At 49.7% G+C, this 15,257-nt stretch overlaps 1 protein-coding gene, 1 long non-coding RNA gene and 1 pseudogene across 34 annotated transcripts in view, besides 2 other annotated features; 2 read left to right on the top strand and 1 right to left on the bottom strand.

Moving 5' to 3' along the window:
- LOC100419798 (gon-4 like pseudogene) overlaps positions 1-8,576 on the top strand; it is a 31,110-nt pseudogene extending 22,534 nt beyond the window's left edge.
- MSTO1 (misato mitochondrial distribution and morphology regulator 1) overlaps positions 9,179-15,257 on the bottom strand; it is a 51,722-nt gene continuing 45,643 nt past the window's right edge. For 2 of the 33 annotated variants that reach the window (XM_047424007.1, XM_047424008.1), the window contains 14 exons: positions 13,814-14,273; positions 13,586-13,721; positions 13,038-13,107; positions 12,855-12,930; positions 12,543-12,597; positions 12,319-12,457; positions 12,046-12,163; positions 11,830-11,964; positions 11,576-11,728; positions 11,171-11,302; positions 10,913-11,097; positions 10,580-10,684; positions 10,380-10,489; positions 9,179-10,087 (listed from right to left, as the gene is read on the bottom strand). In XM_047424007.1, coding sequence (XP_047279963.1) covers positions 9,873-10,087; positions 10,380-10,489; positions 10,580-10,684; positions 10,913-11,097; positions 11,171-11,302; positions 11,576-11,728; positions 11,830-11,964; positions 12,046-12,163; positions 12,319-12,457; positions 12,543-12,597; positions 12,855-12,930; positions 13,038-13,107; positions 13,586-13,721; positions 13,814-13,897 — 1,713 coding nt within the window. In that variant the 5' untranslated portion in view covers positions 13,898-14,273 and the 3' untranslated portion in view covers positions 9,179-9,872. Of the gene's footprint in view, positions 10,113-10,379; positions 10,490-10,579; positions 10,722-10,912; positions 11,098-11,170; positions 11,341-11,575; positions 11,729-11,829; positions 11,965-12,045; positions 12,226-12,293; positions 12,458-12,542; positions 12,736-12,790; positions 12,931-13,037; positions 14,274-15,257 lie in introns of those variants that run through there. The other 31 variants (NR_046293.1, NR_046292.1, NR_146908.1 and 28 more) reach the window with 31 other exon arrangements.
- Positions 11,512-14,537, top strand: LOC105371452 (uncharacterized). Its single transcript, XR_922171.2, has 2 exons — positions 11,512-11,587; positions 14,254-14,537. It is a non-coding gene; the product is annotated as an uncharacterized LOC105371452 (long non-coding RNA).
- Positions 13,192-14,066: an enhancer, noted in NCBI's record as "H3K27ac hESC enhancer chr1:155579871-155580745 (GRCh37/hg19 assembly coordinates)". NCBI's record gives its function as "activates a minimal SCP1, AML or CMV promoter by ChIP-STARR-seq in primed H9 embryonic stem cells {active_cell/tissue: H9 hESC(primed)}" and the evidence as "EXISTENCE:reporter gene assay evidence [ECO:0000049][PMID:30033119]".
- Positions 14,067-14,941: an enhancer, noted in NCBI's record as "H3K27ac hESC enhancer chr1:155578996-155579870 (GRCh37/hg19 assembly coordinates)". NCBI's record gives its function as "activates a minimal SCP1, AML or CMV promoter by ChIP-STARR-seq in primed H9 embryonic stem cells {active_cell/tissue: H9 hESC(primed)}" and the evidence as "EXISTENCE:reporter gene assay evidence [ECO:0000049][PMID:30033119]".

Genomic DNA, 15,257 nt, shown 5'->3' with positions numbered 1-15,257 from the left:
TTAAGAATGCCTTTAAGTGGTTTTCTGCCCTGGGTGGGCCAGGTATTCCTTGCCCTCATTCCGGTAAACCCACAACCTTCCAGCATGGGCTTTATTGCCATCATGAACATGTCACAGTGCTGCAGATATTTTGTTTATGGCCAGTTTTGGGGCCAGTTTATGACCAGATTTGGAGGGGCTTGTTCCCAACAATCCAGTTGTACCTAATCCTTATACTCTACTCTCCCAGATACCAGAGGAAGCAGAATGGTTTACAGTCCTAGATCTTATGGACGCTTTCTTCTGCATCCCTCTGCATCCTAACTCGCAATTTTTATTTGCCTTTAAAGATCTGTCAAACCCAGCATCTCAGCATACCTCGACTATCCTGCCATTCATTTTCAGGGCTAGGATACTAGGAGGTCTAGGAACTGGCATTGGAGGCATTACCACCTCCACCCAATTCTCTTACTGTTGGGGAAAAGCTGAGTGTTGGGAAAAAAGCTGAGTGTTGGGGAAAAAGCTGAGGCAGGGCTTGCATGTCTGATATAATGTAAAAGAGTCTTAGAACAGGTCCAGGGTCCAGGGTCCAGGGTCTAAAACCCCTTGTGGCCTTTGGAACACCAAGCTCTGTGCCAAAGGGTGAAAGGCTGCCCTGCTGCACCACACTCTAAGCCAAGGGCATAAAACCCCTCATGGCTTGAATGGAATCCAGGGCTCAGGGCATAAAACCCCTTGTGGCCTCTGGAATGTGTCTAGATTTGCTGGCTCCTTGTTTCTAGCCCTCCCAGGCTCATAGATCGATTGTGTCTTAAACTAGAAGAACATGTTCCCCATTATCTCAAGTAGCAGAACATGTTCCATATGCTTCAAAGAAAATGCTAAACTGTCACAGCTGTAGATCACACACTTGATACACTGCTTTCTTTGAACCCCCACATCCTCACCACCTGCTTCTTTGTTTGATCACCAATAAATAGTGCAGGCTTCAAGAGCTCAGGGCCTTCACAGCCTCCATACTAGCATTGACCCCCTGGTCCCACTTCTTGCACTCTTAACTTATCTCATTCCTTTGACTCCGCCGGACTTCGTAGCCCCCACAGCCTGGTGTTGGGTCTGATCACCCCAACATATTACAAATTATCACAAGAGTTAAATGATGACATGGAACGAGTTGCAGATTCACTGGTCACCTTACAAAGCTAGCTTAACTCTTTAGCAGCAGTAGCCCTCCAGAATTGGAAAGCCTTAAATTTATTAACAGCTGAAAGAAGTGGAACCTGTCTTTTTCTAGGAGAAGAGTGTTACTATTTTGTTAATCAATACAGAATTGTCACCAAAAAAGGTTAAGGAGCTTCGAGACCAGATACAGTGCCAGGCACAAGAGCTCCAAGACACAGGACTTTGGAGTATTGTCAACCAATGGATGCCCTGGTTTCTCCCCTTCTTGGGACCCTTGGTGGCTATTGTGATGTTGCTTATCTCTGGACCCTGCATTTTTAACCTCCTTGTAAAATTTGTCTCTTCCAGAATAGAATCCATGAAACTGCAAATGATTCTACAGATGGAGCCCCAAATGACCACCACTAGCACCTGCTATCGAGGACCCCTAGACTGACCCACCAATCTGTTCTTGCACCATGACACTGAAGACTCCCCTCCTGAGGAAGGCTCAACTGCAGAGCCCCTTCTACACCCCAGCTCAGCAGGAAGTAGCTAGAATGATTGTTGCCCAACTTCCCAACGGCACTTGGGCTTTCCTTTTGAGAGGAGGGACTGAGGGACTAAGTGGCTAAGTTGGCTGGACTTCCTGGGTCAATAGGGACTTCCCTAAGGGAACTTTCCCCTAAGCCAAAATGAGTTATAGCTGCAAACTAAGGGATTGAACCTTCAACCAATCATATAGGGAGTTTAAGCTCTAGCTGCAGCCTGATGTTTTTAACCAATCATGCCCACCTACCCACAAGTGGATAGAAAATAAGCTAATTCTATAGGACAGAAAAAGAAAAAGGGGAGGGGTCATAAGGGGATATAAGTATAAGACACCCAAGCCAAAAATGGCAGCCCTTTCAGGTCCCCTTCCACCATGTGGAAACTTTACTTTCACTTTAATAAATCTTGCCACTGCCAAAAAAAAAAAAAAAAAAAAAGATTAAATAGAATTGTCTATAGGATTTCATTAAAATTGGGGTTAACATTAATAGCAGACTTATGCAAGGGTAAAATTTGGCTTTCTCTCTTGAACAGGATTTTTATGTAATAGTAAAGGCTAATCAAAGCATTTTGCTTTTTCAAATTTTTGAGTCATCCTTTTGGCAAAACAAATGACTTATGGTAATCTAAAATTCTATTTCATAATATCAAGAGTTTTAAACCTGTAAGGGCCAGTCATGGTGGCTCACGCCTATAATCCCAGCACTTTGGGAGGCCGAGGCAGGTGGATCACCTGAGGTCGTGAGTTGGAGACCAGCCTGACCAACATGGGGAAACCCTGTCTCTACTAAAAATACAAAATTAGCTGGGCGTGGTGGCGCATGCCTGTAATCCCAGCTACTCAAGAGGCTGAGGCAGGAGAATAGATTGAGCCTGGAAGGCAGAGGGTGCAGTGAGCCGAGATTGTGCCACAGCACTTCAGCCTGGGCAACAAGAGCAAAACTCTGTCTCAAAAACAAACAAAAACAAAAACCTGTAACATATTCAACAGGCTTCCCAAAATCAAATTTCAGTTGCAAGATTCTCTTTCCTGACCCCTGGCTTTTGAATGCTACAGCTACAGAGGGCCCCTAGAGCATCCGAAGAGAGGTAAACAGGATTAAAAAAAGAGAGAGAGATAATTAAGGCTGGGTGTGGTGGCTCACATCTGTAATCCAAGGACTTTGGGAGGCCGAGGCAGGTGGATCACTTGAGGTCAGGAGTTCAAGACCAGTTTGGCCAACATGGTGAAACCCCATCTCTACTAAAAATACGAAATTAGCCGAGTGTGTTGGCACATGCCTGTAATCCCATTTACTCAGGAGGCTGAGGCAGAAGAATCACTTGAACCCAGTGGAGGTTGCAATGAGCCAAGATTGTGCCACTGCACGCCAGGCTGGGCAACAGAGTGAGACTCTGTCTCAGAAAAAAAAAAAAAAAGAGATAATTAGCTCAGCATGGTGGTGGGTGCCTGTAATCCCAGCTACTTGGGAGGCTGCGGCAGGAGAATTGCTTGAACCCAGGAGGCAAAGGTTGCGGTGAGCCGAGATCAGCTCCATCTCAAAATAAAAAATAAAAAAATAGGCCACGCGCGGTGGCTCATGCCTGTAATCCCAGCATTTTGAAAGGCCAAGGCGGGTGGATAACCTGAGGTCAGAAGTTTGAGACCAGCCTGGCCAACATGGCGGAACCCCATCTCTACTAAAAATTCAAAAATTAGCCAGGTATGGTGGCATGTGCCTGTAATCCCAGCTACTAGCAGGGCTGAGGCAGGAGGATCGCTTGAACCAAGGAGGCGGAGGTTGCAGTGAGCTGAGATAGGCTCCATCTCAAAATAAAAAATAAAAAAATAGGCCAGGCGTGGTGGCTCACGCCTGTAATCCCAGCATTTTGGGAGGCCAAGGTGGGTAGATTACCTGAGGTCAGGAGTTCGAGATCAGCCTGGCCAACATGGTGAAACCCCGTCTCTACTAAAAATACAAAAATTAGCCGGGCATGGTAGCATGTGCCTGTAATCCCAACTATTAGGGGGGCTGAGGCAGAAGAATCGCTTGAACCCTAGAGGCAGAGGTTGCAGTGAGCCAAGATCGTGCCACTGCACCCCAGCCTGGGCAACAAGAGTGAGATTCCATGTCAAAAAAATAAATAAAAAATAACAAAATAAAAATAAAGAGATAATGTCAGCCGGGTATTTTGGCTCACACCTGAAATCCCAGCATTTTGGGAGGCCAAGGCCGATGGATGGCTTGAGCTCAGGGTTTCAAGGCCAGCCTGGACAACATAGCAAAACCCCGCCTCTACAAAAAATAAAAAGATTAGCTGAGTGTGGTGGTGCACACCTGTGGTCCCAGCTACTTGGGAGGCTGAGGTGGGAAGACTGCTTGAGCCTGGGAGATTGAGGCTTCACTGAGCCATGATTCCTCCACTAACACTCCAGCCTGGGTGACAAGGGCAAGAACTTGTCCCCCCCCCCCCAAAAAAAAAGAGAGAGACAGTGTCTCGGCCATGCACGTGGCTCACACCTGTAATCCCAGCACTCCAGGAGGCTGAGGTGGGAGAATCCCTTGTAGCCAGGAGTTTGAGACCAGCCTGGGCAACACAGGCCCCAGGGATCCTCCTGACTCAGCCTCCCAAATAGCTGGGGCTACAGGTGCACACCACAACATCTGCCTAATTTTTAAGTTTTTTTGTAGAGATGGAGTCTCGCTATGTTGCCCACGCTGGTCTTGAACTCCTGGCTTTTTTTTTTTTTTTTTTGAGATGGAGTCTTGCTCTGTCACCCAGGCTAGAGTGCAGTGGTGTGATCTCAGCTCACTGCAACCTCCACCTCTCGGGTTCAAGTGATTCTCCTGCCCCAGCCTTCTGAGTAGCTGGGATTACAGGCACCTGCCACCGCGCCCAGCTAATTTTTTTGTATTTTTTAGTAGAGACGGGGTTTCACCATCTTGGCCAGGCTGGTCTCGAACCACTGACCTCATGATCCACCCACCTTGGCCTCTCAAAGTGCTGGGATTACAGGCATGAGCCACCGCACCCGGCTAAACTCCTGGCTTTAAACGATCCTCCTGCTTTGGCCTCCCAAATGGTGGGATTACAGGCATGAGCCACCTTGCAAGGCCTGAAAATTCTTCGTAATGTAAGCTCTAAAGTATTACATGAGTTTGAGTGTCTCATTTCACATCCATAATACAGCAAACAACATGAAATATATACATCTCTTGAAGCTGTTGCTCACATCTTAATTGCTTTGGGTGGCTACCCACCAGTGGCCCAAGGTGGATGGAGGTTAGGGTTTTAAATTAGATCTCAATAGTTGTAAACTAGAATTTTAAACCAGGGTTCTGTCATCTCTTGTGTCCTAGTCCACTAGTTCTTATCCTTAGAACCCTCAAGTCCTGCTCTAGCTGTATCATGACTCCTCTTTTGCCCACTTTCCACTCTGGTAGTTTGAGGAGCAGCAGGCTTTTGAGAAGAGCCGCAAGTTCCTTCGGCAGCTGGAGATTTGCTTTGCAGAGAACCCCTCACACCACCAGAAGATTATCAAGGTCCTCCAAGGCTGTGCAGACTGCCTTCCCCAGGAGATCACCGAGGTATTCTTTCCTGTCCTGCTTTCTTCCTGTTGTCTTCCGGGCCTTAGGCCTTTCCCTTGTCTCTTTCCCCAACCTACTCCATACCTTTTTGCCTCTGGAGGCTCATGGGCTTCCTGGAGGAGATGAAAAAGGCAAGGACTTTTCAGGCTCACCCAAAGCATAAAGCACTGGGATAGGGAGGGATTGCTACCTGAAACCGGAGCCTGTCTGATCTTCACAGGCTCAGGAATGCCATGGATGTGCTGGAAGGGATGTTCAGCGAAGGAGGTTCTGGGACCTGGGAGGGGCCTTACCTCCTTGCTCTGCTTGGAATAGTGCCCTAGCTGGAGATCAGTAGGGTGGAGTGGAGAGTGGAATCATTAGGAATCAAATCCAGTATTAATACCCTTCCCCTGGCCGGATGTGGTGGCTCACACCTGTAATCTGAACACTTTGGGAGGCAGATCACCTGAGGTTGGGAGTTGGAGACCAGCCTGAACAACATGGAGAAACCCTGTCTCTATTAAAAATACAAAATTAGCTGGGCATGGTGGTGCATGCCTGTAATCCCAGCTACTCGGGAGGCTGAGGCAGGAGAATCGCTTGAACCTGGGAGGCAGAGGTTGCGGTGAGTGGAGATCGCACCGTTGCACTCCAGCCTGTGCAACATGAGCGAAACTCCAGCTAAAAAAATAAATATATAAATAAATACATAAATAAATAAAACAAAATAAAATCTTTGGAGCAGTAGCTAGGCAAAGGGGCACTCAGGAGGCTCACACCAGAAGATCACTACTTGAGCCCAGGAGTCTGAGGCTATAGTGTACCACTATGGTCATACCTGTGTAAACAGGCACTGCACTCCAACCTGGGCAAGATAATTTGTGTTATCTGTGAGACCTTGTCTCTTTTTTTTTTTTTTTTTGAGGTGGAGTCTCACTTTCGTCCAGCCTGGAGTGTAGTGGCACAATCTCAGCTCACTGTAACCTCTGCCTCCTGGGTTCAAGCAATTCTCATGCCTCAGCTTCCCAAGTAGCTGAGACTACAGGCCCCCGCCACAACATTCCGCTAATTTTTGTATTTTTAGTAGAGATGGGGTTTCACCATGTTCACTAGGCTAATCTGGAACTCCTGACCTCAAGTGATCCCTGCCCTCGGCCTCCAAAGTACTGGGATTACAGGTGTAAGCCACCACACCTGGCCTCTTTTTGTTTGTTTCTTTTTGAGACAGGGTCTCGCTATGTTGCCCAGGCTGATCTTGAACCCTTGGGCTCAAGTGATCCTCACACCTCAGCCTCCCAAGTAGCTGGGTTTACAGGCATGTACCATTGCACCCAACTGAAACCCTTTCTCTTAAAAAAACAAAATTGTTGGAGCAGATATGCATGTGGGTTGACTTGGTGAGCATCAGGCAGGGCTTCTTCCTTTGGTGGGCCCCAAAGGCATAGGCGGTCAGGACACCTTTGACCCAGAAGATCATCCCTGTGGGTCTGTGACAGCAAATCCTACAAGAGCAAGGAGCCCCATGAAGCCACCCAGAACAGGACTGTCAGGACCACCAGAAAGAGAGATGCCTATTTCAGGTGAGTGATCTGCCAACCCAGCCCTTCTGTTTTTCAGTCTCGTTCTTCTATACCCCAGACAGGAACCTCCATGAGCCTGGATAAATAACACCCTTTTCAGGGATGGACATACCACCTCTTTCACTGATGGACCCATAAGAAGCCCTTCTCCTGTTCAGGCTTTTTCTATCCTATGGCCTCACTCCTCTTGCAGAATTAAGAGTGTGTGGCCGGGCGCAGTGGCTCACGCCTGTAATCCCAACACTTTGGGAGGCCGAGGTGGGTGGATCACCTGAGGTCAGGAATTCAAGACCAGCCTGGCCAACATGGTGAAACCCCATCTCTATTAAAAATACAAAAAAAAAAAAAAATAGCTGGGCCCGGTGGTGGGCACCTATAATCCCACCTACTTGGGAGGCTGAGGCAGGAGAATCCCTTGAACCCCGGAGGCGGAGGTTGCCATGACCTGAGATCACGCTACTGTACTCCAGCCTGGGCAACAAGACCAAAAATCTCTCAAAAAAAAAAAAAAAAGTGCTACAAATTTCACATGATTCAACATTGTCTTGTGTTTTATTCCTAAAACCCTTCCCCCATCTCTAAATCTAGTGTAATCTACATCCTAAAGACTGGGCCGTTCTCAGCTTTGGCAGTAGGACTTTATATCTTTGCATAAGTGACATTATGCCCACCATCTCCACCCAACTCCTTTATTATTTATATTTTCTTGCAGAGATGGGGTCTCACCATATTGCCCAGGCTAGTCTCAAACTCCTGGCAGTCCCACCACTTTGGCTTCCCAAAGTGCGGACGTTATAGGTGTGAGCCACCATGCCCAGCACTCTTTTTTATTAGAATTTTTGCACAGTACCTGGCCACAGGTAATTTCTCGTGCTTAGGTGCATCTTGATCCTCACAGTACCCTGGGATCCTTATTTTCCTCCTAAGCAGGATTGGCAGTGGGGGGCACTTTGCCATCCCCTCGAGAAGTGACTCTTACAGAACGGCTCCTCCTGGATGGCCCACCACCTCATTCACCAGAGACTCCTCAATTTCCCCCCACAACTGGAGCTGTACTGTACACTGTTAAGAGAAACCAGGTTGGGCCTGAGGTTCGCTCCTGCCCCAAGGCATCCCCCAGACTTCAGAAAGAGAGGGAGGGCCAAAAGGCAGTGAGTGAGTCAGAGGCTTTGATGCTGGTCTGGGATGCATCAGAAACTGAGAAATTGCCTGGTACCGTGGAACCCCCTGCTTCCTTCCTGAGTCCTGTTTCCTCAAAGACCAGAGATGCAGGGAGAAGACATGTGTCCGGGAAACCAGACACTCAAGAGAGATGGCTGCCCTCAAGCAGAGCTAGGGTGAAGACAAGAGACAGGACGTGCCCTGTCCATGAATCTCCATCAGGAATTGACACCTCAGAGACTTCTCCCAAAGCCCCTAGAGGGGGTTTGGCTAAAGACAGTGGAACACAGGGCAAGGGTCCAGAGGGGGAACAGCAGCCAAAGGCCACAGAAGCTACGGTGTGTGCCAATAACAGCAAGGTCAGCTCCACTGGGGAAAAGGTTGTCCTGTGGACAAGGTAGGTAAGGGTGGATGATGTGTGTTTGGAAAAGAGCATAGACCACATCCATGTGGCTCCCTAGGGTTAATCATGATACCTGGGTTACAGGGAAGCTGACCGTGTGATCCTCACCATGTGCCAGGAGCAAGGGGCACAGCCACAGACCTTCAGCATCATCTCCCAGCAGCTGGGAAATAAGACCCCTGCTGAGGTAGGTGCGGGTTGGGGTGAAGACCTGGCAAAAAGAGGTCAAGGTGGCCAACTAAGAGACAGAAAGGCCAAAGAAGGAGTTTTCATATCCAAGATAAGTGGTTTTTGTAAAGGTTTGATCTAAGGAAAGGCTTGACTCATCAGGGTGGTAGTGGTTCTAGGAGAAGAGAAAGGACACTGCATTTTTAGGTGGAAGCCCGTTTCCATTCTAGCTTTTTTTTTTTTTTTGAGCCAGAGTCTTGCTCTGTCGCCCAGGCTGGAGTGCAGTGGCATGATCGTGGCTCACTGCAACCTCCACGTCCCAGGTTCAAGCAATTCTCCTGCCTCAGCCTCTCGAGTGGCTGGGATTACAGGTGCCCACCACCCAGCCAATTTTTCTATTTTTAGTAGAGATAGGGCTTCACCATGTTGGCCAGGCTGGTCTCGAACTCCTGACCTCAAGTGATCTACCTGCCTCGGCCTCCCAAAGTGCTGGGATTACAGGTGTGAGCCACTGTGCCCGGCCATTCTAGTTTTGTTTTTAGGAGTCGTGTGACTTTGGGCAAAACATTTAGCCTCTTGAGTTTCCTTATCTATAGTGACATAGCTCTCTCAACCTTGCTGTGTGGAATAAACAAAAGATTTTGCAAATCAATATATAGTGCTTCATAAATGTTAACATGTTACTAAGGATCAGTGAATACAGCCCTCCTCCTTTCTTAGGTTTCCCACCATTTTCGAGAACTCATGCAGCTCTTCCACACTGCCTGTGAAGCCAGCTCTGAGGATGAGGATGATGCAACCAGTACCAGCAATGCAGACCAGCTGTCTGACCATGGGGACCTTCTGTCTGAAGAGGAGCTGGATGAATGAGACTCTGGGAATCATCTACACAGGACCAAACCCAACAGGCGCCCTGGCACCGGGGAGGCGGGTAGTTGTACTCTGCTTGTACAGTCCTTGAGCCCAGTTTACAGATCTGGAGAGCAGGAGGCCAGGACAAGGACAAAGGCTGGAGGATGGAGTAGGACCCAGGGGCTCTGCCATCCTAGGCATCATTCAAGGTCTTTTATGAAGACTTTACAGATGTCCTCTGTAAGTAGCATCGAGAGTGGAGTTCAGCTCCTTTCTCTACTTTTTTTTGGTCTGATGGCACATATTTATTGTTCTGTGGTCTAATCACAGTGTTTCTAAATGTAAAAAGTGCATATGTTGGTGTAGCTAGTCCCGCGACATTGAGCTCCTCTGCATGAAGACACTGGGCTCCTGCATCCAGCTGTTTTTATTGCAAACTAGCTCCTTTCTCCCACACTGGGAACTTTAGTCCACGAGGCTGTCACCACCCTGGTAGCACTGGGCCAGGCTTTGTAGCTCCTGCAGCAGCTCTGCTACGTCATCGTGCTCCACTCCAGCATCCATGAAGCTGGCCCAGCGCCGCAAGTCGAGTTTGGTGAGGTCTCTGGCCAAGGCTTCCAGGGTCTGGTGCAGGGACGAAGAGGAACACAGTGCCCCAAACACTGGGATGCTCTCCACTGCTGTGGAGGGAGAGGAAACAGAGACCTGTAGATGGATGATTATTCTGCCCTGGGACTCTGCCAAACTGATAAGGAAGTCCAACCTTAGTAGACTTGATTGTAAACTCAACAAATTTGGTGTATTGTCCCCTTAGTACACCAGTACTCCAGAGGAAGAATGCTTTTCTTGGGAGCCATAGGGTGAATAAAGGAATGTTTAACTGTGGACTTTTTCAGCACTTTTAATCCAGGAATGGAGATAGTAAAAACTCTCCCATACTTGAAATCTCAGTTTTCTTCACCTCCTACATACCTGCTCCCTTGGGGGAACCATCCAGAACCATACCCGGTGGACTGCAGCTTGAGAAGAGGTGGGGGTAAGGAGGAGCCACCCTGCAGGGAGTCAGCAGCAGATGGGAAGAACTGTGGGGGCAGAGAACAGCCATTAAGTGCGTAAGAAGTCAAGGGAGGGTTGCGGTTGGCAAGAAGGGCAGGAGCAACCGTTACACTGACCTCATGACTCCAGGCTGCTGCTGTTGTAAATACTGAGCCAAGATTTCTTCCCCAGTGGTACATGCATGAAGGGCAGAGGGTGGAGGTGTCCCTGGGGTGAGCTGGCTGCCAGAACAAAGCCAAAACCACCATTAGTCTGTGGCTGCATGAATAAGAAACAGAATTCTTATGTTCTCAGGCCATCAGCTGGATCAAGATATTCAAAGCCCTTTTTTTTTTCCTTTTTAAGGGGTGGGGAGGGAACAGTATCATTAGAATGCCCCAGAGAAATTAGGGGAAGATGGATATGAGACAAAAATCTGACAAGGACTCCTAAGGACCAACAGCTCTCACCTTGTGTGGCATGCTCTGTCTATACCCCTCAGCACCACTGACTGGGCAAAGCAACGTGTTCCAGAAGGCTCCCCACATGCAGACAGTGGGGTCCATGGGGTGGCTCCTCCAAACTGCATCAGGGAATCAGGAAGGGACTGGCCTGGAGCCAAGGGGAAAGGGATGATTGCTCCTGCTGTCACCACCTAAAGAGATGGAAGAGAACACGTTATAGGACATTTTCTCAGCACTGACCCAACCCCTTACAAAGCTTCATACCTTTTTCCCACAGAAGCTCAGCATGTCAGCCAGATGAACCATGGAAACTGGAGAGGAACACAGGCGATAAGGAACAGTGACTGTGTCCAGGGCTGTAGCCAGGATGGCACTGCAGTGGAAGGGCAGAGTGGCCTGTAAGAAGACACCAAGATGGGCACTTGGCCTCAGGCCTGGAAAAGAATGTGTGGAGGCAGAATATTAACACCAGAGAGACCCAGGGGACGAATCAGGGGTATGTTTGACCCCAGGCTGGACAAGCATAGGACAGTGTGATCTGAGAGGCCACATCACAGCTGAGTTCAAGCTCGGGCCTCAAGAACAGAGCCAGTAACAGACAGCGGCTGACTGGGAGCATGAGGAGGCCCTGTAGCCTGCCGCAGTCAGAACAAGAGCACCGAGACTTACATCATAATGCAGGTAAGGGAAGCTGACAGGTGGCTCGGGTCGCAGGCCCAGGCTCCCACCCAAGGACAAGGGGCAGACAAGAGAGCTGTGAGCAGTCAGGTGCACGAGACCAAAAGCTGTGTTTAATAGACGATAGATGTTTCTCTGGGCCTCCTGGTGAAGAAAGAGTAGTTTGTATTAAGCAGCTCTCCCACTGGGATTCTGATTTCTCCCTCCCCACTGTGTGACTGTTTACTTCTCTAAGTTCCACTCACCCCACGATGGTAGGGACCAGGTAGCAGGCCCCAGGTTATTATTCCCCGCCCTGAATATTCATCTTGTAGCAGCTCTGCCGCCTTCGCGCCTACCCCAGAGAAGCCATCGTGCAGGTCACACAGGATCTGGAAGCCCTGGACGGGGGTGAGTGACAAAAGATAGTTAGCAGGATGAGAAGAGCTTCCACCCTGGAGTGCACATTGCCACGCCACTACCTGCAAGTAGTCACATTCCTCCACGTAGAAATGCAGCCTGTCCTCCAGCTCTTCCTGGTACTTGGGTTCCTTTAGGACACTTTCCCCTTGGCCAAAAGCCTCCAGCCGACCTGCTTCCCTGCCACAAGTAAACATGATCCAAGACTTACATCTCTTCCCTCAACTCCTCAGCCTCTTGTCCTGGGGAAGGGCAGGGAAGATGGCCTCAAGAGCCTCATCCTGCATTGGTGGGGACCCATGTTTCTTGCCTCAAAGCCTCTGGGGTCCCCATACCCATCGTGGTTGTACTTCTGAATCATACAGATGCTCCGGGGATGGAGATGGACTCTGAGGAAGTCTGACCAGACCCTGATGCTGGCCTCTGTAGGGATAAGTGGTTTTGGAGTTGTAGCGGTGGGGAGTGGTGAGGAACCTGAAGACAAGCAGAGGAAATGTACCTTTCTCCATGTTTCTGCTCTACCCAAGCCCCCATCCATCAGTATCTGGAGAAGTCTCACCTTTGCCATTGGGAATGGATTTGACCCTCCAGACACCATCACTACTCAGCACTCCCTGGGAGGGGTCAGAAAAATCGACATTTAGTTCCAGGCAGTTTAGAGGCAAAGGTTGCTTCGTCCTCCTTGAGTTGGCTGGCCACACCGCATAGCCTCCTTTCTGTTCACCGAGTCGCAGTCCTTAGGAAAAGGAGTGCTTTTTCCCAAAATATCATTCTAAGACACTTAAAATGATTAAAATCCCCGTTTACCTGCCCCTATGGAGACCCTCGGGTTGTGGCACCGGGTTAAAAAGTTCAGGACAGAGGCCCTCACCTCTGCACTCAGAAAGTCTTGGAGATAAGGGTTCTTGGGATAGAGTTCCTCTTTGTGTGTGGTGAGCTTCCCCTGCCTGAAAGAGTTTGGAGATTGATCAAAGAAACTGCACTCTGATCAGAGTTATCCAGCGTTCTGCGTACATACACGATCCCCACCCTTATCCATACATCAGTTACACACCATGCTATTGCAGCATCCAACTGTTTGTCCCTGTAGAGTCCACCTTCCTCTTTTAGGGAGCTCAAACTACCTGTACAGAAATAACAGAGACAATGTTAGGTCAAAGCCTGGGCACCCTTCCCCTCTAGCTAACCTTCCTCTGATCACCTGACAACCTGCTGTCACCATCTCTCCAGCACTTGGCTCTTCCAAGCTTTCTGGGATATACACTAGTTGGGGGAAAAACCTTGGCTTAGGAGAATCTAGATTCCATCTTTCGGTTCCCAGCTTAGTCATTAGCTGTGGGACGCGGGGGGAACCACATCCAGGGGTCTGACAGGAGTGCTGCAGTTCAAGTCCTCACTGTCTCCAGGGCCTAGCAGCCTATTCCCGAAATGGCTCTTGAGCAACTGTCGTGGGCCCCTCGAGTGTTGGCATGTTGTGCTCAGCTCCTCATCTCCGGTCCTGGAGCTCGGTAAGGTGGGAGGGTCTTGAAGATAACGGCAGCGCAAGGACTAGGCACGCGGAAGGGAAATAAGGGGCATCGGCTAACTCTGCCACCACCTCACCCTTCAGATCCATGAGGATGAGTCGCGGCGTGTAGGTCTCCTGGCCGTGCAGCGTCCGGCCCGTACGATACAGGACGTCGGGGCACAGCTCTCCCGGGGGCTCCTTGGAATCGGTCGCTCGGCCCAGCGCAGCATCCTGGGGAAGCAGAGAGGACGAGGCAGGCCGGCTGAACGTCGGGACTGTAGATCCCGAAGGGCTCCTCGGGGGCAGCTGCCGGCTGACCTCACCTGCTGGTTCCACCAGTGCGCGCCCACGAAACCGGCAAAATGTCCCAACTGCAGTGTGAGCACCTCCCGGGCCCCGCCCGCCATACTGCGCTGCTCCACGGGGCCGCCGCGCCTCAGCCGCGCCGCTCGCTGCTCCTAGCCGATTGGCTTGGCAGGCGCGTGGGCGGGTGTTATTCTCGGCTACTTATTGGCCCGCAAACACATCCTTTCCCATTGGAGAAACGATGCGCCGATCCCTTCCTACCTCTTCCTAGACGTGGCCCAGTCCGGCTTCTCTGTGGTTGCCTGTGAGGGGCGGGGCTCCACGGGCCACGCCGTTGCTCCTGCTCCACGTTGGAGCGGGGTGGGCGCCGTCTCCGCCGCTGACTTGGGGCCGCCAGGGCGCGGGCCGTGGAAGGCTCTGCTTCCTACTTGTCTTGAGGTCTTATCCCTTCTCACAGATCTCTCCGCTGGCTGATAGCTCCCCGGGCAAAAAGAAAACCTTGCCAGAAAAGCGGAAGCTCCCCTAAAGCCTCCCATGCCCCTTCATCTCTTCAGAAGTCACGTGGACCACGACTAATAACCTGTGGACTGGCTTAGCTATCATATCTCTATCATTTACACGTATTTATCTATCTCTGTGTATCTAACACCTTATGTAAAGAGAGTATGTATCTGTTGGCGTCTTTTGCTCAATATGGTTTATGTAATTCATATTTTTGCAAATATCTATAATTCATTTTCATCACTGCGGAATAGTCCATTGTATGAATACGCCACCACTGATCTATTCTAAAGAAAGAATAGGCTGGGCGCGGTGGTTCACGCCTGTAATCCCAGCACTTTGGGAGGCTGAGGCGGGCAGATCACGAGGTCAAGAGATCGAGACCATCCTGGCTAACACGGTGAAACCCCATCTCTACTAAAAATACAAAAAAAAATTAGCTGGGCGTGGTGGCGGGCGCCTGTAGTCCCAGCTACTCGGGAGGCTGAGGCAGGCGAATGGCGTGAACCCGGGAGGCGGAGCTTGCAGTGAGCCGAGATCACGCCAATGCACTCCATCCTGGGCGACAGAGCGAGACTCTGTCTCAAAAAAAAAAAAAAAAAAAATATATATATATATATATATATATATACTGCTGATAATAGCTTTTGGGATTGTTTCCAATTTTTGGGCTATTAGGTGCTATGATTAACATTCTTGTGTGTATTTAGAAACAAGGCAAGGGCCGGGTGCGGTAGTTTACGCCTGTAATCCCAACACTTTGGGAGGCCGAGGCAGGAGGATCAACTGAGGTCAGGAGGTTGAGACCAGCCTGGCTAACATGATGAAACCCCGGTCTCTACTAAAAATACAAAACATGTAGCCGGGCGTGGTGGCGGGCCCTTGTACTCCCAGCTGCTCAGGAGGCTGAGTCAGGGAATCATTTGAACCTGGGAGGTGGAAGTTGCAGTGAGCCGATAT

The sequence above is a fragment of the Homo sapiens genome, chromosome 1 (genome assembly GCF_000001405.40).
Source record: "Homo sapiens chromosome 1, GRCh38.p14 Primary Assembly".
NCBI lineage: Eukaryota > Metazoa > Chordata > Mammalia > Primates > Hominidae > Homo > Homo sapiens.
The sequence above is the reverse complement of the archived record's forward strand: the minus strand, read 5'-3'. Positions and strand labels throughout refer to the sequence as shown.